At 38.8% G+C, this 25,233-nt stretch overlaps 1 protein-coding gene across 17 annotated transcripts in view; it reads left to right on the forward strand.

The window, feature by feature from the left end:
• ANO4 (anoctamin 4) overlaps positions 1-25,233 on the forward strand; it is a 411,381-nt gene that overhangs the window by 323,181 nt on the left and 62,967 nt on the right. For 16 of the 17 annotated variants that reach the window (XM_011537912.3, XM_011537911.3, XM_047428302.1 and 13 more), the window contains 3 exons: positions 1,893-2,027; positions 3,098-3,194; positions 7,900-7,960. In XM_011537912.3, coding sequence (XP_011536214.2) covers positions 1,893-2,027; positions 3,098-3,194; positions 7,900-7,960 — 293 coding nt within the window. Of the gene's footprint in view, positions 1-1,892; positions 2,028-3,097; positions 3,195-7,899; positions 7,961-9,309; positions 12,964-25,233 lie in introns of those variants that run through there. The other variant, XM_011537918.3, reaches the window with a different exon arrangement.

A 25,233-nucleotide genomic window follows, 5' to 3' on the forward strand; every position in this document is an offset into this window, starting at 1 on the left:
ATTTACTACTGTTAGCAAATAGGACAAATGGAGTACTGTCATTCCAATACATTTCAGGCTTAGTTTTCATTCAGAACTAATAACCTTTAAAGATTGTTTTAATCTGCAGATCAAAAAGTATATCAGCTTTTAACCTATGATAATTGTGAAGTGGAAATGTATGTTTTTTTATTATTATTATACTTTAAGTTCTGGGTTACATGTGCAGAACATGCAGTTTTGTTACATAGGTATACATGTGCCATGGTGGTTTGCTGCACCCATCAACCCGTCACCTACTTTAGGTATTTCTCCTAATGTTATCCCTCCCCTAGCCCCCCACCCCCCATAGGCCCTGGTGTGTGATGTTCCCCTCCCTGTGTCCATGTGTTCTCATTGTTCAACTCCCACTTATGAGTGAGAACATGTGGTGTTTGGTTTTCTGATCTTATGATAGTTTGCCGAGAATGATGGTTTCCAGCTTCATCCATGTCCCTGCAAAGGACATGAACTCATCCTTTTTTTGGCTGCATAGTATCCCATGGTGTATGTGTGTGTAAATATATGTGTGTGTTTTTTTTTAACTATCTATATCTTCCCAACCTTCTGCCTTGGCAGCATTATTCTCTGACATCTCTATTTATTTAGAGGCTGGTTATTAAGATTGGGTAATAACAACCCACATTTCCTGGATTCCTTATTAAAGAGAAAGTCATGTCTCATTTCCTAGACTAGCTAGATGTGTTGTTTCACTTAAATACCAGGGCCATAAAATAAAATGAGCCCAGAGGGGAGGACAAACAAAAGACAATGCACTTTATATTTGAGCCCTTATCACCAAGTGTTCCAAGGGCATTGATGAATTGTGATCCATTCCTTGTGTTGGTAACAGATAATCCAGATAATCTTAGTGAATGGAAAATATTTTCTGAGATAAGATCATTTTCCTTTGGTCAGACTCAGTGTATGATAAACAGTGGGGGGAAAAACAAAAGTAAATTCTCTTCCCAGCCTCGGTGCCATGTTACAGGATTACATTGATTAGAAATCACAGATAATTGCTGTAGGCAGCACATTTCCCATTCATGACAGTATTTTGATTAAGATTTTGCGGTTTTGGTTAGTCAATGCATATTAATTAACTGTCTATTGTGTATCTAGTACTGTGCTAAGTACTATTGGCAAAGCCAAACAGACGCCAAATGGTCTCTGGCTCTGAAAAACTCAGTTTTCCTCAGCAACACAGGCCCTGCATACTTGAAACATCGAGAAAAGAAAATACAAGGCCATGCATAATTAGGTAAAATGTGTGACAGAGGCCATAAGTTTTACAGTAATTCAGAAAAATGGAAAGAACGGATGTGGCAGCACCCCTGTGGAAGTCTCTGGAGAGCTGAGCCCTGAAGAACAGTGGCATTTATGTTGGGCAAATAAAGGGGGATGAAAAGCACAACCAAGCCTTGAGTAGAATGAAAGTTGTGGAGCATCTAGGGAATGTCATCTCTTAGACAGTTCCTATCCTATAGGTTTTACTTCCACCATATCTCTCGAATCGGGCCCCACCTCAGCATCTCCACTGCCTTCACTTGTTACCTGGACTATGACAGCTGTGTGCCTGGTTGGTCTCCCTTTGCCCACTCCGGCCCCTTCCAGTCCATTCTGTCTTCTCAGAATAAGCTTGTATACAACCATGTTATTTTATGGAAGGGCTAATTCTAGTTCTGCTATAGAGTAGTAGTAGAAGAAATGTAAGCCCAGATCCTAGATTTGATGGGATGTTCTTTTATCTTGGCTTACCTTGCTTGCAGTTTACCTCGTAAGGCCGCTACAAAGTAAAATGACTATACGAAGTTTCATAATGCTTAACTTTACACACTGCACTGTAATTTGCAAGGCCGTTGTGTCTTTAACAGGCGGTACTTTGGAGAGAAGATTGGGTTATATTTTGCCTGGTTGGGCTGGTACACCGGCATGCTCTTCCCAGCTGCCTTCATTGGATTGTTTGTCTTTTTGTATGGCGTCACCACTCTGGATCACAGCCAAGTCAGGTACGGGGAGCTCTTGGATGAGTTTGCCTTTGTTTAGTACTTAGAGGTGGCTGTTTGCACTTTGGGGGTATTCACAGATTGTGGAGACATTTAGCTTTTCACTCAAACTTCCTACCCTCTCATGGAAAAACTCAAAGTTTCAGTTCACTAGGACCTCTCCATCCATTGTCCTTGCTGCCATGGTCTTCAGATACCATGCAAGTAAAAGTTACCTTTTCAGACATACAAGCCACTATATATCCACAGAACAAGCCGCCTTCATTCACTGGCTATAAGTGCTCTCTTTTTTTACTTTTTCACTTTTTTTCTTAGCTGATACTGCAAAATAGTGAACTAACAATTCTCTCTTATGAATTCTGTGTTTTTACAACTTGAGCCAGAAAGACATCTCACCAGCTTGCTAGTATCTTGGGAGCGGTTCAGTGTCGATGACCATTATCTTGGTTGTCTCACCAGAATATAGGTCAAGGTACTCACAGAGATCTTGTTGCAAGGCTGGACAATGATCTTAAATTGTAAATATGCCTTTTAAATGTGATTGCAAAAATAAAAGTGAGTGATTAAGCCTTCCACCTACGAAAACATTTTACTTTCTGGTGAAATTGTTAATGTGTTAGTTAAATATAGTTTTCCCCCAGGATAGGGCTAGAATCTCTAGTCATTTATGTTTTGTTTTCCATATTAGTTTTAACTTATCATACACATAGAGATCAAGATAAGTATCTTTATATATCTTCTTACTCCCTTAATTCAGTATGAAATTGCTTCAGACCTTTGAAAAGTGAAGGACATTTCTATAATTTGGGATATAACAATCAATGTTTGGCTTCATGTATTTTCCTGAGTTTAACTTATTAATACATAAAGATAAGGAACAGCCTCATAAGTAGGTTTACCAAATTATTTAAATGGGCAAGAACTTGTTTACATTAATAACAGATAAAGCTAAGATGCTTCTAAGGGCAAACATTTAACCTACTGGATCTTATTTACTAGTTGAACATTCTGGTGAAGTTAGAAAAAAATGTTCCATGTCATCAAAAAGCAGTCCTTTCTGTTCTCTTTTCCAGTAAAGAAGTCTGCCAAGCTACAGATATCATCATGTGTCCTGTGTGTGATAAATACTGTCCATTCATGAGGCTGTCAGACAGCTGTGTATATGCCAAGGTAATTTCAAACTGTAGCATTTTAGATGAATTGAATTTAACATACACCTTCCTGAGGGATGGTGGGTAACTCTATTCTGTCATTTCCAGTCTTTGATTTTCAAGTGAATGTTGTAGGATAGACTTATCTCCATCATTCAGTATTCTAATTCCCATATCTTTGTTAATTGTCCATGTATTTGGAAGGCATGGCTCTAGACATCATCCATGGAGCTGCAGCATGGCACAGTGTGAGGAGCACGGTGCTGGAGTCAGAGAAAGTTAGGTCCAAATTTTGACTCTGCTGTTTACCATTTCTCTATCTGGGAATAAGATATTTAACTTCTTTGAGTCTCAGTTTTCTCATCTGCAAAATGGAGACCATGATGCTTGTTTCACACGGAGTTAAGGTGTATACTGAGCATAGTGCTTGGTAAATAGACCTCAGTAAATGACAGCTATCATCATTTGCCTCCTCTTCATCATCATTATTGTCAAAATGACCTCCAATTAAGGCTAGCTCAGCCACTTACCTCTTTAGCCCTGAAATGTGCCCCCTTTCTAAGAAACTCTTTTTTCATAGAAAGAAGCTCAGTCTTCTGAGCTTTCTTGTCTCTAAAATACAGGAAATATGTGTCCTCTCTGTCCTACCCTATTGGCATGACGTGAGGACTAAAGAAGAGAATATATGTGAAAGTGCTATGAGAAAAAAAATACATGACACCACTATTTCTATTATGTGTTATTGCATACCTCTTTCTCGTGATATGCCTTACTTTATTTCTTAGACATATTCCTCACATTCCTAGAGTTTTTTGATACTTAGGTGGTGGTGTCCATAACACAAAACAATAGCTGAAGTTTGAGTTTGCGAAGACTTTTCCAAGAGCTACTGCCTTTTGGCTTGCCCAGATTCAGATATAAATGGCATTGGCAGATTTTATCCAGCTTTTGTAATCACTGAAGCCTGGATCTATCTAATTACTCTCTTGGCATTGCAGAGTTTTGTTCATTTTAAACAAGGGAACATTTGATAGGCAACCCAGGATCCCGCCTATCTATAATGTCTTTAGTACTGCAGGTGGCCGGTCTGTGTAGGAGGAGCCCAGACTGCAGCAGTGAGCAGTGGTTTTAGAAAGATTTGAGCTCTTATGTTGCAAGGGACAAAAAAAGCACAAAATGCTCTGAGCCCTATCTTTAGGAAACACTCAGATAGACCTGAGTGGATAAGGATAAATTTAACAGAGTGACTTTAGGACATAGAGATTTGGTGAGCATCAAGAGCTTTGTCAGTAATATAATTTTGTTTAAAGGTCAGATATAAGCCTGAATGACTCAGGTTTTAAAATTCTGCTTCTGGGGAAACCCCAAAATCAGAAGCCAATTTTTTTTTTTAATGTGGAAAGATATGCTTGAGTAAAATTCTCTTTTTAGGAGATCCTTAATAATTCTTTTAAAGAATCGTCATGAATAGTTTATGAGTGCTCAGATTTTATAGGGGCTTATTTTGGGAGTTATTCTCCCTAACTTAAGACCTAGAACAATAATAATTATAATAGTTACAGCTATAATAATAGCTAGACAATCTACATTGATTATTTCTAATTCTCACAGCAACTTCAAGATAGGTGTTATTATTTCCATTTTATTCAGAGACTCAAAGAGGTAAAAATTACTCATGCATGGTCATGCAGCAATAAGTAGCTGGGCCTTGGTTTATTGCACTGCAAAACATGCCTTCTTTACCACTGTGCCCTGCTGAGCCACAAGATGTTTAGATTCTGAATTTAACATTTGGCCTTGCCTAGAAACTTAGTAAAATGAAAGATAAAAAGCCTTAGAATGACAGAATTGGAGTTATACAGGGTTTCCTTTAGAAATATTTATTAGAGATGTCAGAGTGATTTCATGGGACTGTGGATACACAGAAATATTAAATCAGATTGGCGCTGGGATCTAGTCCAATCAGTGGCTGTTCTGCTGATAGGGATGCTGTATCCTTGACTCTTGTGTTTGCAAGAATCAGAAACCCAACTCCTACTGGCTTAGTCAGAAAGTGATGTAATGGTACATTTTGCCAGAACAGATACTGGGGTGGCTCACGCTGTGGGATCATGAGGGCCTCACAGCCTGGAACTGTTCCTCCAGGGACCCCGGTGGCCCTGCCCACATGATCATTCTGTAGACTAGTTCTCTGTACAATAGAAAAGATGGCTACCAGCTGCCTTGGCTCCAGGCTTACGTTTTCCTTCCCTTGTCTCCTTAAGTGGATTTTTGTGCTTATTTTAAACTCCTGGTCTGCTGCCACACTGTGTCTATGGGAATCTTCTTTGGAGGGGAGGGGTTGTTGTCTTCCCCATATATTTCATTATTTTGGCCTGTTGGGTACTTGTCCTCTGGAGGCGTCAGCCACTTTGAGTAAGGGTCAGAGGCCAAGGCCAAGTTTGTCAGTCCTAGTGAGTTACAGAGAGGACAGCGTGCCCCAGGCACGACTGAGTGCTACTGCTCTATCAGAGGACTTTTCTGGTCAGTTTCATTTTTAAACCTGCTTAGAACAAAGCAGAATTGGGCACTTTCCCTTGATTGTAATCTGCCAATGCTGGGGTTTAAGAGGAGGTGGACTATGGAGTGAATGCCCCAGGGCAGCTATCCAGGTAGCACCTGCTTTTCACCCATGTCTAACAGAGCAGGACTTTGAGCATTCCCTGATATTGCTCCAGGAATACCAGCACCTGTGGTGTGGCCTGCTTAGCTGATTTCTGAGGGAGGGGAAACTAATTGTCCAATGGCCATTTGAGGGAGAGAGGCTAGAGTAGAGCTTATGTATTTCTCTAACCTGTGCTCTCACTCTACCTGGTATCTACAACCTACCTCTCCCCACACACCACCACCATCACACACATACCAGTTCAAGATAACCTCCCATCTCCCCTGAGGTTTCTCAGGGTCTTTGTTTTTTGTTTTTGTGTTTTGTTAGTTCCTGGAATCTACTACCTTGCTTCTCCAGGACTGATTTTGGCAGAAGGTGTCATCAGCTTAAGCTAACTGACTATCTCATTGGGAACCGGAGCCCCTATAACCTTACCCCTCCTCATTCATATATTGTCAAATTGATAACTGCAGCAGAAAGCTGTCTGTCTCCAAATGTTTGTGTATCAGCCCCAGGGCAGTATTCTGATTGGTTCTATTTTGAGCCATGTGTCCCTTGGGACCAGCAGGAGTTACCTGGAGAAAGGAGAATGGAAGACAGATGATCTGGGTAGCCAAAACAATGATAACTGCAGTCCATTCCAGAATGGACACTGATGGTGCAAGCTACACTTTCTAGCAACTCTCAGTAAATACTCTGATAGAGGCTGGGCGCGGTGGCTCACGCCTGTAATCCCAGCACTTTAGGAGGCCGAGGCAGGCGGATCACCTGAGGTCAGGAGTTTGAGACCAGCCTGGCCAACATGGTGAAACCCCATCTCTACAAAAATACAAAAATTAGCTGGGCATGATGGCGGGTGCCTGTAATCGCAGCTACTTGGGAGGCTGAGACAGGAAAATCACTTGAACCCAGGAGGTGGAGGTTGCAGTGAGCCGAGATTGCGCCATTGCACTCCAGCCTGGGTGACAGAGTCAGAATCCATCTCAAAAACAAACAAACAAACAAACAACAACAAACTCTGATAGATAGCACAGTCCAGTCAAATACCGCTAGAACCTTCAAGGTTGGTTTGATACTGAGTGCCCAATATACAGCTTAACATTCCCTCTGGCATATGAAATAGATTAGCTTCAGACATTTGTCTCACAGTAGGTATTTGAGTGCTGCCCATCTCTCCTCTATTCAAAGAAAGAGAAACTTCTGGAATAATCTGAAATACTTCACGTTCTGATATAACATGAAAAACCTCTTTATATTTGGTGCATTCTCGAAGGAACAATAAAGTATACTTTATAGGTAGCTATAAAGTACCCCCAAAAAAGGTTATTCTTTATGAACCTATCAGTCATCATTTCAATTTGTCATGGACATTGGTATTATTTATACTAGAGGCAGGAATGAGCTTGGCAGTTTTGCAGTAAAAATGGATATTTTTGCTTTCTTCTGTGGTGTTTGCAATAGAATATATTATTCTAGCAATAAAGTATTGCTAGTTGTCTTTGTGTTATGTGCAGTAGGTAAATATAGTGATTACCCAAGGCTTTAATAAGGGTAGAGTTGGATTTAGTTAATGGTTCTGCTCTTTTTTATAAGGCTGAAATCCAGAGGGCAGCCCAGAAAATGTTTGCTCAAAACTGCATAAACAAAATAGCCATGTTTTCAAAGTGAATAAATGAGGCATTAAAAACAGTGCTTGGGAAGTTGAAAACCTTTAAAGCAGCACTAACAATACCTTCCTGGTCCTAAATATAACTATATCCATACACATATGTACGTGTATAAGAGTTTTGTTGTGCACAAAAGGGGATTCTTAGTAGCACTATTGGGGATGCTGATAAATGTTCAACTAGATGATAACCACATAAAGAGAACAAATTGTATCCTCTATATATGAACTACCTTGCAATTAGAGGAAGCCTTTTCTTATTTATGGTTCAAAAGGAATATTCCCCCTACCCAAAACAAAGCCTGTAAAACTCATTATATAATCACAGCTATTTTTACAGAACTTGAAAAAATTTGAATTGGAATATCATATATGAGAAATTAACTCAGCACCGATTCTTATTATTCACAGGTAACCCACCTTTTTGACAATGGAGCCACTGTCTTCTTTGCTGTTTTCATGGCAGTCTGGGGTAAGTGTTCTATAACCATAAAACTTGAGTTTTCCTCATATGCCCTATGATATATTCCTTTAGAAGTTTCACTTTGGATGTGAAAGAAAGAAGCTTGAGTAAATGGAATTAGCTTTCCTATTAGTAGAAAGTTGGTAAATAATTTATTGGGTTTATTTTAAACGATATTGTAGAAGAGAGACATGTCTGATTTCTCTTAAACCTTCAACAATGTCATTAGCACTCTGTTATTAGAGTAGAATTTACTTTCTGTTGGACACAGAAATAAAGCTTATGGTACAACTTTAGTTTAGGTCAGGGGAGAACTGAAACACCATCTCAGTATATATAGGACTTTCTATTGTAAGTGGCTAATGTGTGAGTACCCACCTTTAGCTTTCTTCTAGCTCTGTACAAAATTACCCCTAAAAACAAGGTCTATTCACAGGACTGATTTGAGCTTTTTGATATAATTTCAAGCTAACAGCCCCATCACACAAGGTGTGATGGAAACAGTCAAATATTTGGAAGTAACAGGACTTGATTGAAATCTCAACTCCCTTTACACACTAGGCTGTGTGATTTTTGGCAAGTTATTTAACCTACCTCTTTGTAAAATGGGTTAATATATAATAGTCAAATAATTATAAAGCTTCAATTTAATGATATAGAAAAACATCTCACAAATTCATGGAAAGCAGTTAATGGCAGTTACCTTTGGAAAGGAAGATTCATGGAAGAGTAAGTGAACAACGAGGAGAGACAAACTTTATGCTATATATTTTTAGTCTGGTTTGAATTTTTTACAATTATACTTTTCTCCTATAACTTTAATTGCCAAAATCTGAATTTTGATGTAACAAAATTCTACTACCTTTAGACTTAGGCTCATCTTGTTCATTATGTCTGCTATGAATATTGGAATCTTCCCCATCTTTCAGGCCCCAGCTGAAATGTCATCTGCTCCAGCCAAAAGATGTCTTTCTCCTTTGAATTTCCATGGCATTTTGTTCTTAGGGCACTTAAAATTATTTTCACAGATAACTTGTCTTGCCTAGTAGATTTATGGTCCTTGAGGACCATTATGATTATCAGAGATCTCATATTTTTTTTTTTTTTGAGATAGATGGAATCAGTAAGTTTCTGTTGGATGGATGGGTGGGTCAATGGATAGATAGGTGGATGGATGGATGGATGGATGGATGGAAGGAAAGAAGGAAAAAGAGAAGAAGAAAGAAAAAGAAATTACCAAAAGTATTTATTTATGATACAGTGAATGTATTTAAGAGGTCTTTTTTGATAAGTGGAAACATAAAACCTTGTTCACTTGAGGGAGCTTGTTCTTGATATATTGTGTCTTTTGTACCTAGAGACTGTCAAAGGAAAATTGTCCCACCCATCACAGCTCTGTTGAAGGGACATGTTTTGAACCCCATGACTCCAGTCCCTCTCAGCCAGTAAGCATTTGAACCAAGATCAGTCAAACCACAGGTTGGTGAGTGGCCTGGGAAAAGGCCTGAGGTTCTGCCCAGACAAGGACTGGTAGGGCCACCCAGATTCTTATTCTCCAGAATGTGGACTAGAAAATGTAAAGGGAAATAGGGAGTTAGCAGCAGGAATGGACACTGAAAAATACAGAGGGCAGGAGGGAGGGAGAAAAAGAAAGATTAAAATTGACCATTGGGTAGAAGTAGGGACCAGGAGGAATTAGGAGGCTGAAGTTATGAGAATCAGAACCTAGAAATAGATAGAAGCAAAGAACTAGTGGAAAAATTAGAGGGCGAAAAAGCCAACTGGGAGAAAATGTAAGACAACCAGAGGGAAGCAAAGAGAGAATATAGCCAAGTCATGTTACTAGTGGAGTGTCAGGATGAAGACCCAGACTCTCTTGTGGCTGAGGCCTCTCTCAAGCTTCGGGCTTCCATATCCTGTCTCTGAACAGGCCATGTATTTTTTCCTGTAGGATTCCTGCCTCCCTTGGTGGACCTTGTGAAAAGCTTTCACTGTTCATGCTACCCTTAATGCTTCTCTGTCCCTTGCAAACAAACTAACCCTAACAGAATTTTGATTACAGGCCTGAGCTCTCAGATAAAGAATGCGTATATAGTTTTACTAGAATCTATTAGTATCATACACCGTGATTCGGATAAGCCATATAATGCTTAAGCTTTGCCATGGTCACAAATGAGGGGACTCTGGAAATATATTCATTTCCTAAACCAGTATTATAAATACTAAATGTATTCTGTAAACCTTAATGTATATAGTATTCTGTAAACGTAAATACTAAATGTATATTGTAAACCTAAATGTATTCATTTCCTAAACTTTTCAGGTCATAGCACACATAAAAATGAAAATATTTACACAGCAGCTGCTGTACATGGAGGAGCCTCCTCATGGCCATGGATAGGGCTGTCCCAAACACCCCAGCCTCAGAAGCCACAAGGGTTGAAAGGGGCATTATTGTTATTCCTGGCATAGGCATTTGGAAGTTCTGCCTTGGGCTGCTAATTTACTGTGCAATGAGTTAATGCTTCTATATAAGAGTGGTATCCTGGTGGTATCCTGGAAGAATTAAAACACAAAACTTCCTTACCCACTTCAATATTTCACCAATTTCAAATATACTTTGAATTAAATAATGGTTTCTTCTCACAGTTTACCTCCTGAGACTACATAGAAGTAAATTTTTGTATGATGACATTTGTTCATAAGGCAGAGGTTATTACTCTCCCCCACTACCTCCATTATAAAATGGATTGCATACCCTCTTTGCAAGTTGTGTTTTATGTTATAGATGACAAATAGGTTTTGTTTTATCCCCTTGCCAACCTCAGCTGATTGGTGCTGGCTGCCTGGAGCATGGAGTTGAGAAGTTTCTGAGGTTGAAAGTGGGTGGATTGGAGATTTAACAGCCCTTGTGGTTTGGAGTATACTTTGTAAGACTCTGATGGATGTTTTATAATAAACTTTGGGCACAGAGGAACATTTTAGGGCCATTCCAGGCAAGACATGCCTGGAATAATTCACCCTCTGAATTGCTTTGTCTTAGATGACAACTTATTGCTTAAATCCCACATTATTCCCAGAAATGTGCTAGTTTGAGAAAAAGAATGAGTTGCCCCAAGTGTTTCTTTGTAGATAGAGATAATGCCTTTTGCAGAAATCTGAAAGAGTCAACAATATTAACAGTTATATTAATAGCATTCATTTCCGAGGGATTACTATGTACTAAATGCAGTCCTAAGCATTGCCCATGTATCATCTCATTTAATCTCTCCAGCAAGCTTTTAAAAAGGTACTGTTCTTATCCTCATATGACAGATAAGGAAACTGCAGCAGTAGCTAGAAAGTGGCAAAGCCAAGAGTTAAACTGGGCAGTGTGAGCTCCTCTGCTCTACTGCTAGAATCAGGTATTGTTTGTTACCATTTCCTTCTGTTTTAGAGACCTGAACCTTAAAATAAAGGACTGCTATGCCTGTCCTGAGCCTCATTTATCCTGCTTTGAGACAGTAATGTTCTATAAAAATGTGTCAGTTCTAATGGAGCTCAGTTTAATGGTCTCAGGATCATCTCTTATGATCGACAAGTTACAGCATTAAAGAAAACAAATGCACTCTATTTTCAGGAAATTGCTAGATATGGAGCTGATGAGAACAGATGTAAGTGGTTTACAAGACTTCTGAAGGGCTGGGCTTGACGTGTTCATTTTGTTACCTTTGCTTTGTGTGTTCACCGGAAAAAAATAATAAGGCTCCATCTGTAACCAGTTTGTAGCAACTGGGAGGGCCTTGGCATTGGGTTAGGAATCCTGACAGAACTCTACTACCTTTGTTCAGGTCACGTCTGTGTGAGTGCAGGGCTCCCTCGGGATCCCTGAGGTATGCTGTGAGCCTGGGTCTCGGCTGGAATTACAGTGTGGCTCATTCCTCAATGCTCATTTTTGTTCAGAAAGGTCCAAGGGTCAGAATGATTATGGACTAAATAACTCCTCTCCCGAGGGAAAAAATGAGTCATCAGGGAACTAGATGTTGGCAGAGACCTGTCGGGGAAACAGATTATTTCCCTCTGTTCTGTTTCTGGTTTGGTTTGTTTTTTTTCTCTCTCTCCCCCTTGTTTTTCATTTTTTACTTCTAGGATTGCCAAAAGTTAAGTTATCCCCAGTAAACACACCAAGCAAGATCCACAAAGCTCTTTAATCAAAATGACAAGATGGTAATTATTTAGTGTGATCCTGTTAGTAATTGGTGAATGAAGTATGTCTCATTTAAAAAAATAAATTTTGCAAGAATCAGCCTTTTGTTTCTAGATATTTATGCTAACTTTATATTTTATAGTCTTATCTACATGTTCCACAAAAAAATGGTAATTGTATGTTGAAAAAGGTACACATTTACTAAAGGCCTACCATGTTTGTATGCACATTCACATAGGATACCTCATCAATTTCTCATCACCCATTAGAAAGAAATTACTAACCTCATTTTATAGATGAGGATACTGAGGCTCAGAGAGGTTATGCAACTTGCCCAGGATTCCAGTAGCTGATAAGGTGTGGAGCCTAAACTTTAAACCAGATCTGGTCTGTTTCACTCCAGAGTCATTCCAAAGTGTGTCCACCATGTTGTGCATCTTCTGTGAAGTGTGTCAATTAAGATCTCATTAACTCATACACAAAAATGAGTTAGATGTGATCTCTGCTTTCAAAAATCTCAGTATATTAAAGAAGCGTTGATAATTATAATACAGGGCAAGTCCAATTTACAATAGGCCAATGAGGGTTTATGTAGTCAACTTCCTGAGGCAAAAGGAAAAGCAGAAAAGGTTCACCCAAGAAGAGATATTGGAAAGAAGTCTTAGCTTTGCCAGGCAGAGTAGTGGGGTTGGAAGGAGACATAGATAACATTCTTAGGTGACAAGAGTATTTGTAAAGCTCTGAAAAGGAAGAATTGGCTGTTCAGAGTGATAGGGAGGTTGAGTGTGTATTAGTTTCCTAGGACTGCTGTAACATAGTACTACAAACTGGGTAGCTTAAAACAATAGTTTATTGCATAACAGTTCTGGAGGCTCAAAGTCCAAAATCAAGGTGTCAGTGGGATTCTGAGGGCTGTGAGGGAAGGATCTGTTCCATGCCAGTCTCCTGGATTCTGGTGATGGCTGATGGTCCTTGGCCTTCCTTGGTTTGTAGATGCATCACTCCTATCTCTGCCTCTGTCTTCACCTGGCATTTGCCCCGTGTCTCTGTGTCTTCACATGGCTATCTTCTTCTCAAGACGGTGGTCATATTGGATTAAGGGCCCAGCCTACTCCAGTTATGACCCCATCTTAACTAATTACATGTGCACTGACCCTACTTCCAAATAAGGTCACATTGTGAGGTACTGGGACCTTTTTTGAGGGGACACAGTTCAACCCATAGCAGAGTACCTGTTGAAGGCTGAGAGCTACTTATCACAGACCACTTGAGCTACAACAGAACATGGCTTCACGCTGTAAGCAACAGAAAGCCAACTGGAGTTATAATCCGGGAAGGGACATCATCAATTGTATTTGGGAAATAACTCTGGCAACAGTGCAGGGAGAGGTGAAAGTGGAGGCCAACTGGTGGCAGGCAGGCCCCTTAGAAGGCATTCTAGTACTCAGTCAAAATATTACGCAGAACTTGGCTTCAGAAAAGATCCAATTTCCAGAATAAAAACCACACGTGTAAAATGTTTTCCTAGCTTTAGTTATTTATAATATGCAAAATTTGTGAACAACGTAAATGTCCAACAATAGAAGAACGGTTTGGTAAATTATAAGCAGCTATTATAAATTGCTCTTTCAAAGCATGTTGATAATACAAAGCTTGTATTTAAATTTTTTTAAAGTAGGGTATAAAGTATACAAGTAAAACACGATTTTGAGTATATTAAATGTAAATGAAAACAGAAAGAAATGATGCCATAATATTAATGGTGGTTTGCTTTATGTGGTGGGATTGTGGGAAGATTTTTTTCAACTTTAAGTATAATTTATGTGCAATAAAATCCAGCAACTTTAAGTGAACAATTCAACAAATTAGGTCAAATATATATAGTCATGGAAGCATCACCATAATGATGATATATAAGAGAACTTTTTTTCTTTTTTTTGAGACGGAGTCTCGCTCTGTCCCCCAGGCTGGAGTGCAGTGGCACAATCTCGGCTCATTGCAAGCTCCGCCTCCCGGCTTCACGCCATTCTCCTGCGTCAGCCTCTCGAGTAGCTGGGATTACAGGCGCCCGCCACCACGCCCAGCTAATTTTTTTGTATTTTTAGTAGAGACGGGGTTTCACTGTGTTAGCCAGAATGGTCTGGATCTTCTGACCTTGTGATCCGCCCGCCTTGGCCTCCCAAAGTGTGGGAGCCACCGTGCCCGGCCTAAGAGAACATTTTTATCCTCTCAAAAGTTTCCTCATGCCTCTGCAGTCAGTCCCTTGGCAACCTGAAACCTGCTTTTTACCACTGTAGTTTCAGCTGTTCTAGAATTTCATGCAGATTAAATTATTCAATATATAGCATTTTGTGTCTGGCTACTTTCACTTCAGTTAATGCTGTTGAGATTCATTTATGCTGTTGCCTGTGTCAGTAGCTGGTTTCTTTTTAGTACAGAGTAGTATTCCAGAGCCTGGCTATGTCATAATTTGTTCGTCTACTTACCAGTTAATGAATATTTGGGTTCAGTATGGTTTTTAACTACTATAAATAAACCTAGAAACTATTGGCTCTTCTAGTTTTTTGTTTTTGTAAATTTTCATAAAAGCCTTTGTAGCCATTCATCTTGGATGAATAATTAAAAGTGGCATTGCTGGATCATGTGATAAGTGAATGCCTAACTTAGTAAGAAATTGTTTCCCAAAGTGGCCATATCGTTTTGTAGTCAATATCAGCATGATATGAGAATTCCAGGTGTTCCACATTCTCACAAGCACTTGGAATTGTCAGTCTTTATAATTTTAGTCATTTTAGTGGGTATATGGTATTATCCCATTGCAGTTTTAATTTGCATTTCCCTAATGAGTAGCGATGTTGAACATCTTTTCATGAGCTTATTTGCAATCTGCACATCTTACTTGGTGAAGTGTTTGCTCAGATCATTTGTCCATTTGTTATTGGGTTGTCTGTCTTATTTTTAAGTTAAAAGAGTACTTTTATATATTCTAGGTAGAAATGCTTCATCTTACAGGTGTTTGCAAATTTTTTTCCCTGTCTGAGTCTTGCATTTTTATTTTTTAATGGTGCCTTTTGAAAACCAAGAGTTTTTTCTTTTTATATAGTCTAATTTAAATTTTCTTCTGCACTCATTTTTTGTTTTATTTATGAAATCTTTGCCAAACTCAAAGTTTCTAAGATTTTCGTCTATATTGTCTTCTAAAAAGCTTATCGTTTTAGCTCATATGTTTAGGTTTATGACTTATTTCAAGTTGGTTTTTGTATATGGCATAACGTAAGGGGCAGATTTATTTCTTTCCATGTAGATATCCAGTTTTCCTAGTACCATTTGTCAAAAACGCCGTTCTTTTCCTTTTTGAATTTTCTTGGTACATTTTGGTTGAAATCAATGGGCCATATATGTATGGGTCTGTTTTCAGAATTTTTATTATGTTTGATGTGTATGTGTACACATGGCAATAATCCACTGTCTTGATTATTATGGCATAATAACTGTTAAAATCATATTTTTCTTTTCAAAAATTGTTTTGCTGTTTTAGGTTCTTTGCATTTCCAAAAAAATTGTAGAATCAGCACTTAAATTTCTTCAAAAAAAGTGTTGATATTTTGATTGGGATTAAGTTGAATCAATGTCAGTTTGGAAAGATTGAGTGTCATTTAGCTTTTTGTTTATTTACATATTCTGTAATTTCTCTAAGCAATGTCTTATTATTTTCAATGTACAAGGCTTCCAGATATTTTGTTAAATTTATGCCTATATATTGGATTTTTTGAGTTTTTTACAAATAGTATTTTTCTGTAATTTCAATTGCCAGTTATTCATTGCTACTACATAGAAATACAATTAACTTTTGTATATTGACCATATATCTTGTGACTTACTAAACTCAGTTATTAGTGCTTCTAGCTTTTTTATAGATTCCTTAATATTTTCAACATAGATGATTAAGAAATTTATAAAATAAATAAGTTTTCTTTCTTTCTAATCTATATGAGTTTTATTTCTTTTTCTTGCCTTATACTGGTTAGGACCTCCAGAATAATGCTGGATACAAGTTATGTACTAGACATCCTTGCCTTATGCCCAGTCTTAGGGGAATGTGTTTAGTCTTTCAACATTAAGTATGATAGAAACCACAGGTTTTCATATATGTCTGTTATCAAGTTGAAGGACATTCCTTCTATTATTAGGAACTGAGGGTTTTAAAAATCATGAATGGGTATAGAATTTTGCCAAAAGCTTTTCCTGTATTAACTAAGACAATCCTGTTTCTTTCTTTCTTTTATTTTTTTATACTTCAAGTTCTGGGATACATGTGTGGAACGTGCAGGTTTCTTACATAGGTATACATGTGCCATCGTGGTTTGCTGCACCCTTCAAATCGTCATCTACATTAGGTATTTCTCCTAATGCTTTCCCTCCCCGATCCCCCTATCCCCCAACAGGCCCCAGTGTGTGATGGTCCCTGCCCTGTGTCCATGTGTTCTCATTGTTCAACTCCCACTTAGGAGTGAGAACATGCAGTGTTTGGTTTTCTCTTCCTATGTTAGTTTGCTGAGAATGATGGTTTCCAGCTTCATCCATGTCCCTGAAAAGGACATGAACTCATTCTTTTTTATGGCTGCATAGTATTCCATGTTGTGTATGTGCCACATTTTCTTTATTCAGTCTATCATTGATGGGCATTTGGGTTGGTTCGAAGTCTTTGCTATTGTGAATAGTGCCACAATAAATATACGTGTGCATGTGTCTTTATAGTAGAATGATTTATAATCCTTTGGGTGTATACTCAGTAATGGGATTGCTGGGTCAAATGGTATTTCTGGTTCTAGATCCTTGAGGAGTCACCACATTGGTTTCCACAATGATTGAACTAATTTACACTCCCACCAAAAGTGTAATTAGTGTAAAAGCGTTCCTATTTCTCCACATCCTCTCCAGCATCTGTTGTTTCCTGACTTTTTAGTGATTGCCATTCTAACTGGCATGAGATGGTATCTCATTGTGGTTTTGATTTGCATTTCTCTAATGACCAGTGATGATGAGCTTTTTTTCATATGTTTGTTGCCTGTGTAAATGTCTTCTTTTGAGAAGTTTCTGTTCATATCCTTTGCCCACTTTTTATGGGGTTGTTTGTATTTTCCTGTAAAGTTGTTTAAGTTGCTTGTAGATTCTGGATATTAGCTCTTTGTCAGATGGATAGATTGCAAAAATTTTCTCCCATTCTATAGGTTGCCTGTTCACTCTGATGATAGTTTCCATTGCTGTGCAGAAGCTCTTTAGTTTAATTAGATCCCATTTGTCTATTTTGGCTTTTGTTGTAATTGGTTTTGGTGTTGTAGTCATGAAGTCTTTGCCCATGCCTATGTCCTGAATGGTATTGCCTAGGTTTTCCTCTAGGATTTTTATGGTTTTAGGTTTTACATTTAATTTTTTAACCGATCTTGAATTAATTTTTGAATAAAGTGTAAGGAAGGGGTCCAATTTCAATTTTCTGCATATGGCTAGCCAGTTTTCCCAACACCATTTATTAAATAGGGAATCCTTTCCCCATTGCTGTTTTTGTCAGGTTTATCAAAGATTAGATGGTTGTAGAAATGTGGCGTTATTTCTGAGGCCTCTGTTCTGTTCCATTGGTCTATATGTCTGTTTTGGTACCAGTACCATGCTGTTTTGGTTACTGTAGCCTTGTAGTATAGTTTGAAGTCAGGTAGCGTGATGCCTCCAGCTTTGTTCTTTTTGCTTAGGATTGTCTTGGCTATATGGGCTCTTTTTTGGTTCCATATGAAATTTAAAGTAGTGTTTTCTAATTCTGTGAAGAAAGTCAGTGGTAGCTTGATGTGGATAGCATTGAATCTATAAATTACTTGGGGAAGTATGGCCATTTTCACAATATTGATTCTTCCTATCCATAAGCATGGAATATTTTTCCATTTGTTTGTGTCCTCTCTCATTTCCTTGAGCAGTGGTTTGTAATTCTCCTTGAAGAGGCCCTTCACATCCCTTGTAAGTTGTATTCCTAGGTATTTTATTCTCTTTGTAGCAATTGTGAATGGGAGTTCATTCATGATTTGGCTCTCTGTTTATCTGTTCTTGGTGTATAAGAATGCTTGTGATTTTTGCACATTGATTTTGTATCCTGAGATTTTGCTAAAGTTGCTTACCAGCTTAAGGAGATTTGGGGCTGAGACGATGGGGTTTTATAAATATACAGTCATGTCATCTGCAAATAGAGACAATTCGACTTCCTCTTTTCCTATTTGAATACCCTTTATTTCTTTCTCTTGCCTGATTGCCCTGACCAGAACTTTCAATACTGTGTTGAATAGGAGTGGTGAGAGAGGGCATTCTTATTTTGTGCTGGTTTTTGAAGGGAATGCTTCCAGCTTTTGCCCCTTCATATGATATTGGCTGTGGGTTTGTCATAAATAGCTCTTATTATATTGAGATACATTCCATCAATACCTAGTTTACTGAGAGTTTTTAGCATGAAGCGGTGTTGAATTTTATCGAAGGCCTTTTCTGTATCTATTGAGATAATCATGTGGCTTTTGTCATTGGTTCTGTTTTTGTGATGGATTATGTTTATTAATTTGCATATGTTGAACCAGCCTTGCATCCCAGGGATGAAGCCAACTTGATTGTGGTGGATAAGCTTTTTGATGTGCTGCTGGATTCAGTTTTCCAGTATTTCATTGAGGATTTTCGCATAGATGTTCATCAGTGATATTGGCCTGAAATTTTCTTTTTTTGTTGTGTCTCTGCTAGGTTTTGGTATCAGGATGATCTGGCCTCATAAAATGAGTTAGGGAGAAGTCCCTCATTTTCTATTGTTTGGAATAGTTTCAGAAGGAATGGTACCATCTCCTCTTTTTACCTGTGGTAGAATTCAGCTGTGAATCCTTCTGGTCCTGGCCTTTGTTTGGTTGGTAGGCTATTAATTACTGCCTCAATTTCAGAACTTGTTATTGGGCTATTCAGGGGTTCGACATCTTCCTTCTTCTTTTTCTTCTTCCTGGTTTAGCCTTGGGAGGGTGTATGTGTCCAGGAATTTATCCATTTCTTCTAGATTTTCTAGTTTCTTTGTGTAGAGGTGTTTATAGTATTCTCTGATGGTAGATTGTATTTCTGTGGGATCAGTGGTTATATCCCCTTTATCATTTTTTATTGTGCCTATTTGATTCTTCTCTCTTGTCTTCTTTATTAGTCTGGCTAGTGGTCTATGTATTTTTTAATCTTTTTTAAAAAACAATTCTTGGATTATTTGATATTTTGAAGGGTTTTTCATGTCTGTCTCCTTCAGTTCTGCTCTGATCTTAGTCAGCCTTCTTGTCTTCTGCTAGCTTTTGAATGTGTTTTCTCTTGCTTCTCTAGTTCTTTTAATTGTGATGTTAGGATGTCAATTATAGATCTTTCCCGCTTTCTCCTGTGGGCATTTAGTGCTATAAATTTCCCTGCAAACACTGCTTCCGCAGTTTCCCAGAGATTCTGGTACGTTGTGCCTTTGTTCCCATTAGTTTCAAATAACTTATTTATTTCTGCCTTAATTTCGTTATTTACCCAGTAGTCATTCAGGAGCAGGTTGTTCAGTTTCCATGTAGTTGTGCAGCTCTGAGTGAGTTTCTTAATCCTGAGTTCTAATTTGATTGCACTGTGGTCTGAAAGACTGTTTGTTATGATTTCCGTTCTTTTGCATTTGCTGAGGAGTGTTTTACTTCCAATTATGTGGTCAATTTTAGAATAAGTGCAATGTAGTGCTGAGAAGAATGTATATTCTGTTGATTTGCAGTGGGGAGTTCTGTAGATGTCTATTAGGTTCGCTTGGTCCAGAGCAGAGTTCAAGTTCTGAATATCTTTGTTAATTTTGTGTCTCATTGATCTGTCCAATATTGACAGTGGGGTATTAAATCTCCCATTATTATTGTGTGGGAGTCTAAGTCTTTTTGTAGGTCTCTAAGAACTTGCTTTATGAATCTGGGTGCTCCTGTATTGGGTGCATATATATTTAGGACAGTTAGCTCTTCTTGTTGCATTGATCCCTTTACCATTATGTAATGCGCTTCTCTGTCTTTTTTGACCTTTGTTGGTTTAGGTCTGTTTTATCAGAGACTATGATTGCAATCCTTGCTTTTTTTTTCTTTCCATTTGCTTGGTAAATATTCTCCATCCCTTTATTTTGAGCGCATGTATGTCTTTGCATGGAGATGGATCTCCTGAATACAGCACACAGATGGGTGGTCTTGACTCTTTATCCAGTTTGCCAACCTGTGTCTTTTAATTGAGGCATTTAGCCCATTTACATTTAAGGATAATATTGTTATGTGTGAATTTGATCCTATCGTTAGGATGCTAGCTGGTTGTTTTGCCTGTTAGTTGAGGTAGTTTCTTCATAGCGTCAATAGTCTTGACAATTTGGTATGTTTTTGCAGTGGCTGGTCCCAGTTTTTCCTTTCCATATTTAGTGCTTCCTTCAGGAGCTCTTGTAAGGCCAGCCTGGTGGTGACAAAATCTCTCAGCATTTGCTTGTCTGTAAAGGATTTTATTTCTCCTACGCTTACGAAGCTTAGTTTGGCTGGATATGAAATTCAGCGTTGAAAATTCTTTTTTTTAAGAATGTTGAATATTGGCCCCCACTCTCTTCTGGCTTGTAGGGTTTCTGCAGAGAGATCTGCTGTTAGTCTGATGGGCTTCCCTTTGTGGGTAACCCAACCCTTTCTCTCTGGCTGCCCTTAACACTTTTTTTTTTTCATTTTAACCTTGGTGAATCTGACAGTTATGTGTCTTGGGGTTCTCTTCTCAGGAGTATCTTTGTAGTGTTCTCTGTATTTCCTGAATTTGAATGTTGGCCTGTCTTTGTAGGCTGGGGAAGTTCTCCTGGATAATATCCTGAAGAGTGTTTTCCAACTTGGTTCCATTCTCCCCATCACTTTCAGGTACACCAATCAAATGTAGGTTTGGTTTTTTCACATAGTCCCATATTTCTTGAAGGCTTTGTTTGTTCCTTTTCATTCTTTTTTCTCTAATCTTGTCTTCACACTTTATTTCATTAAGTTGATCTTCAGTCTCTGATATCCTTTCTTCTGCTTGATCGACTCGACTATTGATACTTGTATATGCTTCACAAAGTTCTCATGCTGTGTTTTTCAGCTCCATCAGGTCATTTATGTCCTCTAAACTGGTTATTCTAGTTAGCAATTCCTCTAACCTTTTTTCAAGGTTCTTAGCTTCCTTGCATTGGGTTAGAACATGCTCCTTTAGCTTGGAGGAGTTTGTTATTACCCACCTTCTGAAGCCTACTTCTGTCAATTCGTCAAACTCATTCTCCATCCAGTTTTGTTCCCTTGCTGGCAAGGAGTTATGATCCTTTGGAGGAGAAGAGGCATTCTGGTTTTTGGAATTTTCAGCCTTTTTGTGCTGTTTTTTCCTCATCTTCGTGGATTTATCTACCTTTGGTCTTTGATGTTGGTGATCTTCACCTGGGGTTTTTGAGTGGACATCCTTTTTGTTGATGTTGATGCTGTTCCTTTCTGTTTGTTCGTTTTCCTTCTAGCAGCCAGACCCCTCTGCTGCAGGTCTGCTGGAGTTTGCTGGAGGTCTACTCCAGACCCTGTTTGCCTGGGTATCAGCAGTGGAGGCTGCAGAACAGCAAAGATTGCTGCCTATTTTTTCCTCTGGAAGCTTGAGCCCAGAGGGGCACCCCCCAAATGCCAGCTGGAGCTCTCCTGTATGAGGTGTCTGTCGACCCCTGCTGGGAGGTGTCTCCCAGTCAGGAGGCATGGGCATCAGGGACCCACTTGAGGAGGTAGTCTGTCCCTTAGCAGAGCTCGAGCACTGTGCTGGGAGATCTGCTGCTCTCTTCAGAGCTGGCAGGCAGGAACATTTACGTCTGCTGAAGCTGCCCCGACAGCCACTGCTTCCCCCAGGTGCTCTGTCCCAGAGAGGTGGGAGTTTTATCTATAAGCCCCTGACTGGGGCTGCTGCCTTTCTTTCAGGGATGCCCTGCCCAGGGAGGAGGAATCTAGAGAGGCAGTCTGGCTATAGTGGCTTTGCCAAGCTGCAGTGGGCTCCACCCAGTTCTAACTTCCTGGCGGCTTTGTTTACACTGTGAGGGGAAAATTACCTACTCAAGCCTCAGCAATGGCGGACACCCCTCCCCCCACCAAGCTTGAGCATCCCAGGTCAACTTCAGACTGCTATGCTGGCAGCAAGAATTTCAAGCCTGTGGCTCTTAGCTTGCTGGGCTCCGTAGGGGTGGGATCCGCTGAGCTAGACTGCTTGGCTCCCTGGCTTCAGCCCCCTTTCCAGGGGAGTGAACAGCTCTGTCTTGCTGGCATTCCAGGCACCACTGGGGTATGAAAAATAATTCCTACAACTAGCTTGGTGTCTGCCCAAAAGGCTGCCCAGCTTTGTGCTTGAAACCCAGGGCCCTGGTGGCACAGGCACCTGAGGGAATCTCCTGGTCTGCAGGTTATGAAGACTATGGGAAAAGATACTAATCTGGGCCAGAGTGCACCATTCCTCACAGCACAGTCCCTCAGGGCTTCTCTTGGCTAGGGGAGGGAGTTCCCCGACCCCTTGTGCTTCCTGGGTGAGACAGTGCCCTAGCCTGCTTTGGCTTGCCCTCCGTGGGCTGTACCCACTGTCTAACCAGTCCCAATGAGATGAGCTGGGTACTTCATTTGGAAATGCAGAAATCACCCACCTTTTGCACTGATCCCACAGACTGAAGCTGTTCCTATTCAGCCATCTTCTGTTCTCAATCCTGTTTCTTAAAAGCTGGACAATATATTAATTAAATTGATTCATTATGAAATAATAGGATGATCTTGCATTCCAAGGATCCCACTTCATCATAATATATTACCTTTTATGAGTGTTGCAATATTTGATTTGCTAAAATACTTTCAGGATTTTTCCATCTATCTTCATGAGGGTTATTGGCCTGTAACTTTTTACTTCTAGTGTCTTTTTGTTATTGAGGTGATGTTGGCCTCATAAAGTGAGTTAGGAAACGTACTTTCTTCTAGAAAGTAGAAATGGTGTTATTTCCATCTTGAATGTTTGGTAAATTGTACCAGTGATGCCACCTGGGCCTGGAGTTTTCTTTGCAGGAAGGCTTTTAATGCAATCTTAGTCATTTAATGGATGGAAGGTTGTCCAGGTTATCTTTTTTTTTTTTTTTTTTTTTTTTTTTTTTTTTGCCTTTGAAAGAGTCAATTTGTGAATTTATTGGCATAAATTTGTTTATAATATTCTCTTATCTTCTTTCTAATTCCTATAGGATGTGTTATGATATCATATTGGTCATTCCTGAAATTGGTAATTAATGTCTTCTCTTTTCCTGTTCATTCTGTCTAAAAGTTTATCAGTTCTATTGATCTTTTAAAGAACCAGCTTTTGGTTTTAATGATGTTTTTCTATTGTTTTTATGTTTCATTTTTCATTGATTTTTGCTGTTATCTTTCATTTTGTTCCTCATGCTTGCTTTGCATTTAATTGCTCCTTTTTCTAATTTCTTAAGGTAAATGCCTAATTATTTATGTGAGGTCTTTCTCATTTTCAAATATGAGTTTAATGCTATAAATTTCCTCTAAGCACTGCTTAGCTATATCCCCCAAATTGTGTTTTTATTTTTAATCAGTCCAAAATATTTTCTAATTTCCTTTGTGAGTTCTTCTGTGATCTGTGAGTTACTATGTAGAAGCGTATTGTTTAATTACCAAATGCTTGGGAGATTTTCTAAATTTCCACTTGCTGTTAGTTTCTAACTTCATTCAAAGGACATAGTTTGTGTGGTTTCAGTTCTTTTAAATTTACTGAGAAATGTTTTATGACCCACAGTATGATATCTTGGAAAATGTTCCAAGTACATTTGAAAAGACTAGTAGTTCCCCACATGGACACGCGGAGGGGAACATCACACACCAGAGACTGTTGATGGGTGGGAGGCTAGGGAAGGGATAGCATTAGGAGAAATGCCTAATGTACATGATGGGTTATTGGGTGCAACAAACCACCATGGCACATGTATACCTGTGTAACAAACCTGCACATTCTGCACATGTATCCCAGAACTTAAAGTATTATAATAATAATAATAATAATAATAATAATAATAAAAGATTAGTAGTTCCCCTTTTTCCACAGTTTTGCTTTCCACAGTTTCAGTGACCCACTATCAACAACGGTCCAAAAATATTAAATGGAAAATTCCAGAAATAAACAATTCATAAGTTTTAAATTGTGCACAAATCTGAGTAGCATGATGAAATCTCACATTGTCCTGCTCCCTCCCACATGAGATGTGAATCATTCCTTGTTTGGCATATCTACACCGTTCACACTACCTGCCCATTAGTCATTTCGTAGCCGTCTTGGTTATCAGATACTGCCACTGTATCACAGTACTTGTATTCAAGTAACCCTTATTTTACTTAATTATGTCATCGAAGTGCAAGAGTATTGATGCTGGCAATTTGGGTATGCCAAAGAGAAGCTGTAAAGTGCTTTGTTTAAGTGAAAAGGTGAAAGTTCTCAACTTAATAAGTAAAGAAGAAAAGAAAAAATCTTACACTGAAGTTGCTAAGATATACAACTGTAAGATATATTCTTACAGTTGGTAAGAATCTTCTATGCATGAAATTGTGAAGAAGGAAACAGAAATTTGTGCAATATATATATAAGGTTCAGTAGTATCTGTGGCATCTTCTGAGGGTCTTGGAATGTATTACCTGTGGATAAAAGGGGACTAGTGTATATTCTGCTGTTGTTAATTATAGTGTTATCTAAATTTCATTGATTATTAAGAGAGAAGACCCAAATAAATAAAATCAGATATGAAAAAGGAGACATTACAACTGATACCACAGAAATTCAAATAATTATTAGAGGATACTATGAGCAACTATATGCCAATAAATTGGAAAATCTAGAAGAAATGCACAAATTCTTAGACTCATACAACTTACCAAGATTGAACCATGAGGAATTCCAAAATCTGAACAGACCAATAATGAGTAACAAGATAGAAGCCATACTGAAAAGTCTCTCAGTAAAGAAAAGCCCAGGACCCAATTGCTTCACTGCTGAATTCTAC

This window comes from Homo sapiens, chromosome 12 (genome assembly GCF_000001405.40).
Source record: "Homo sapiens chromosome 12, GRCh38.p14 Primary Assembly".
Classification (NCBI taxonomy): domain Eukaryota; kingdom Metazoa; phylum Chordata; class Mammalia; order Primates; family Hominidae; genus Homo; species Homo sapiens.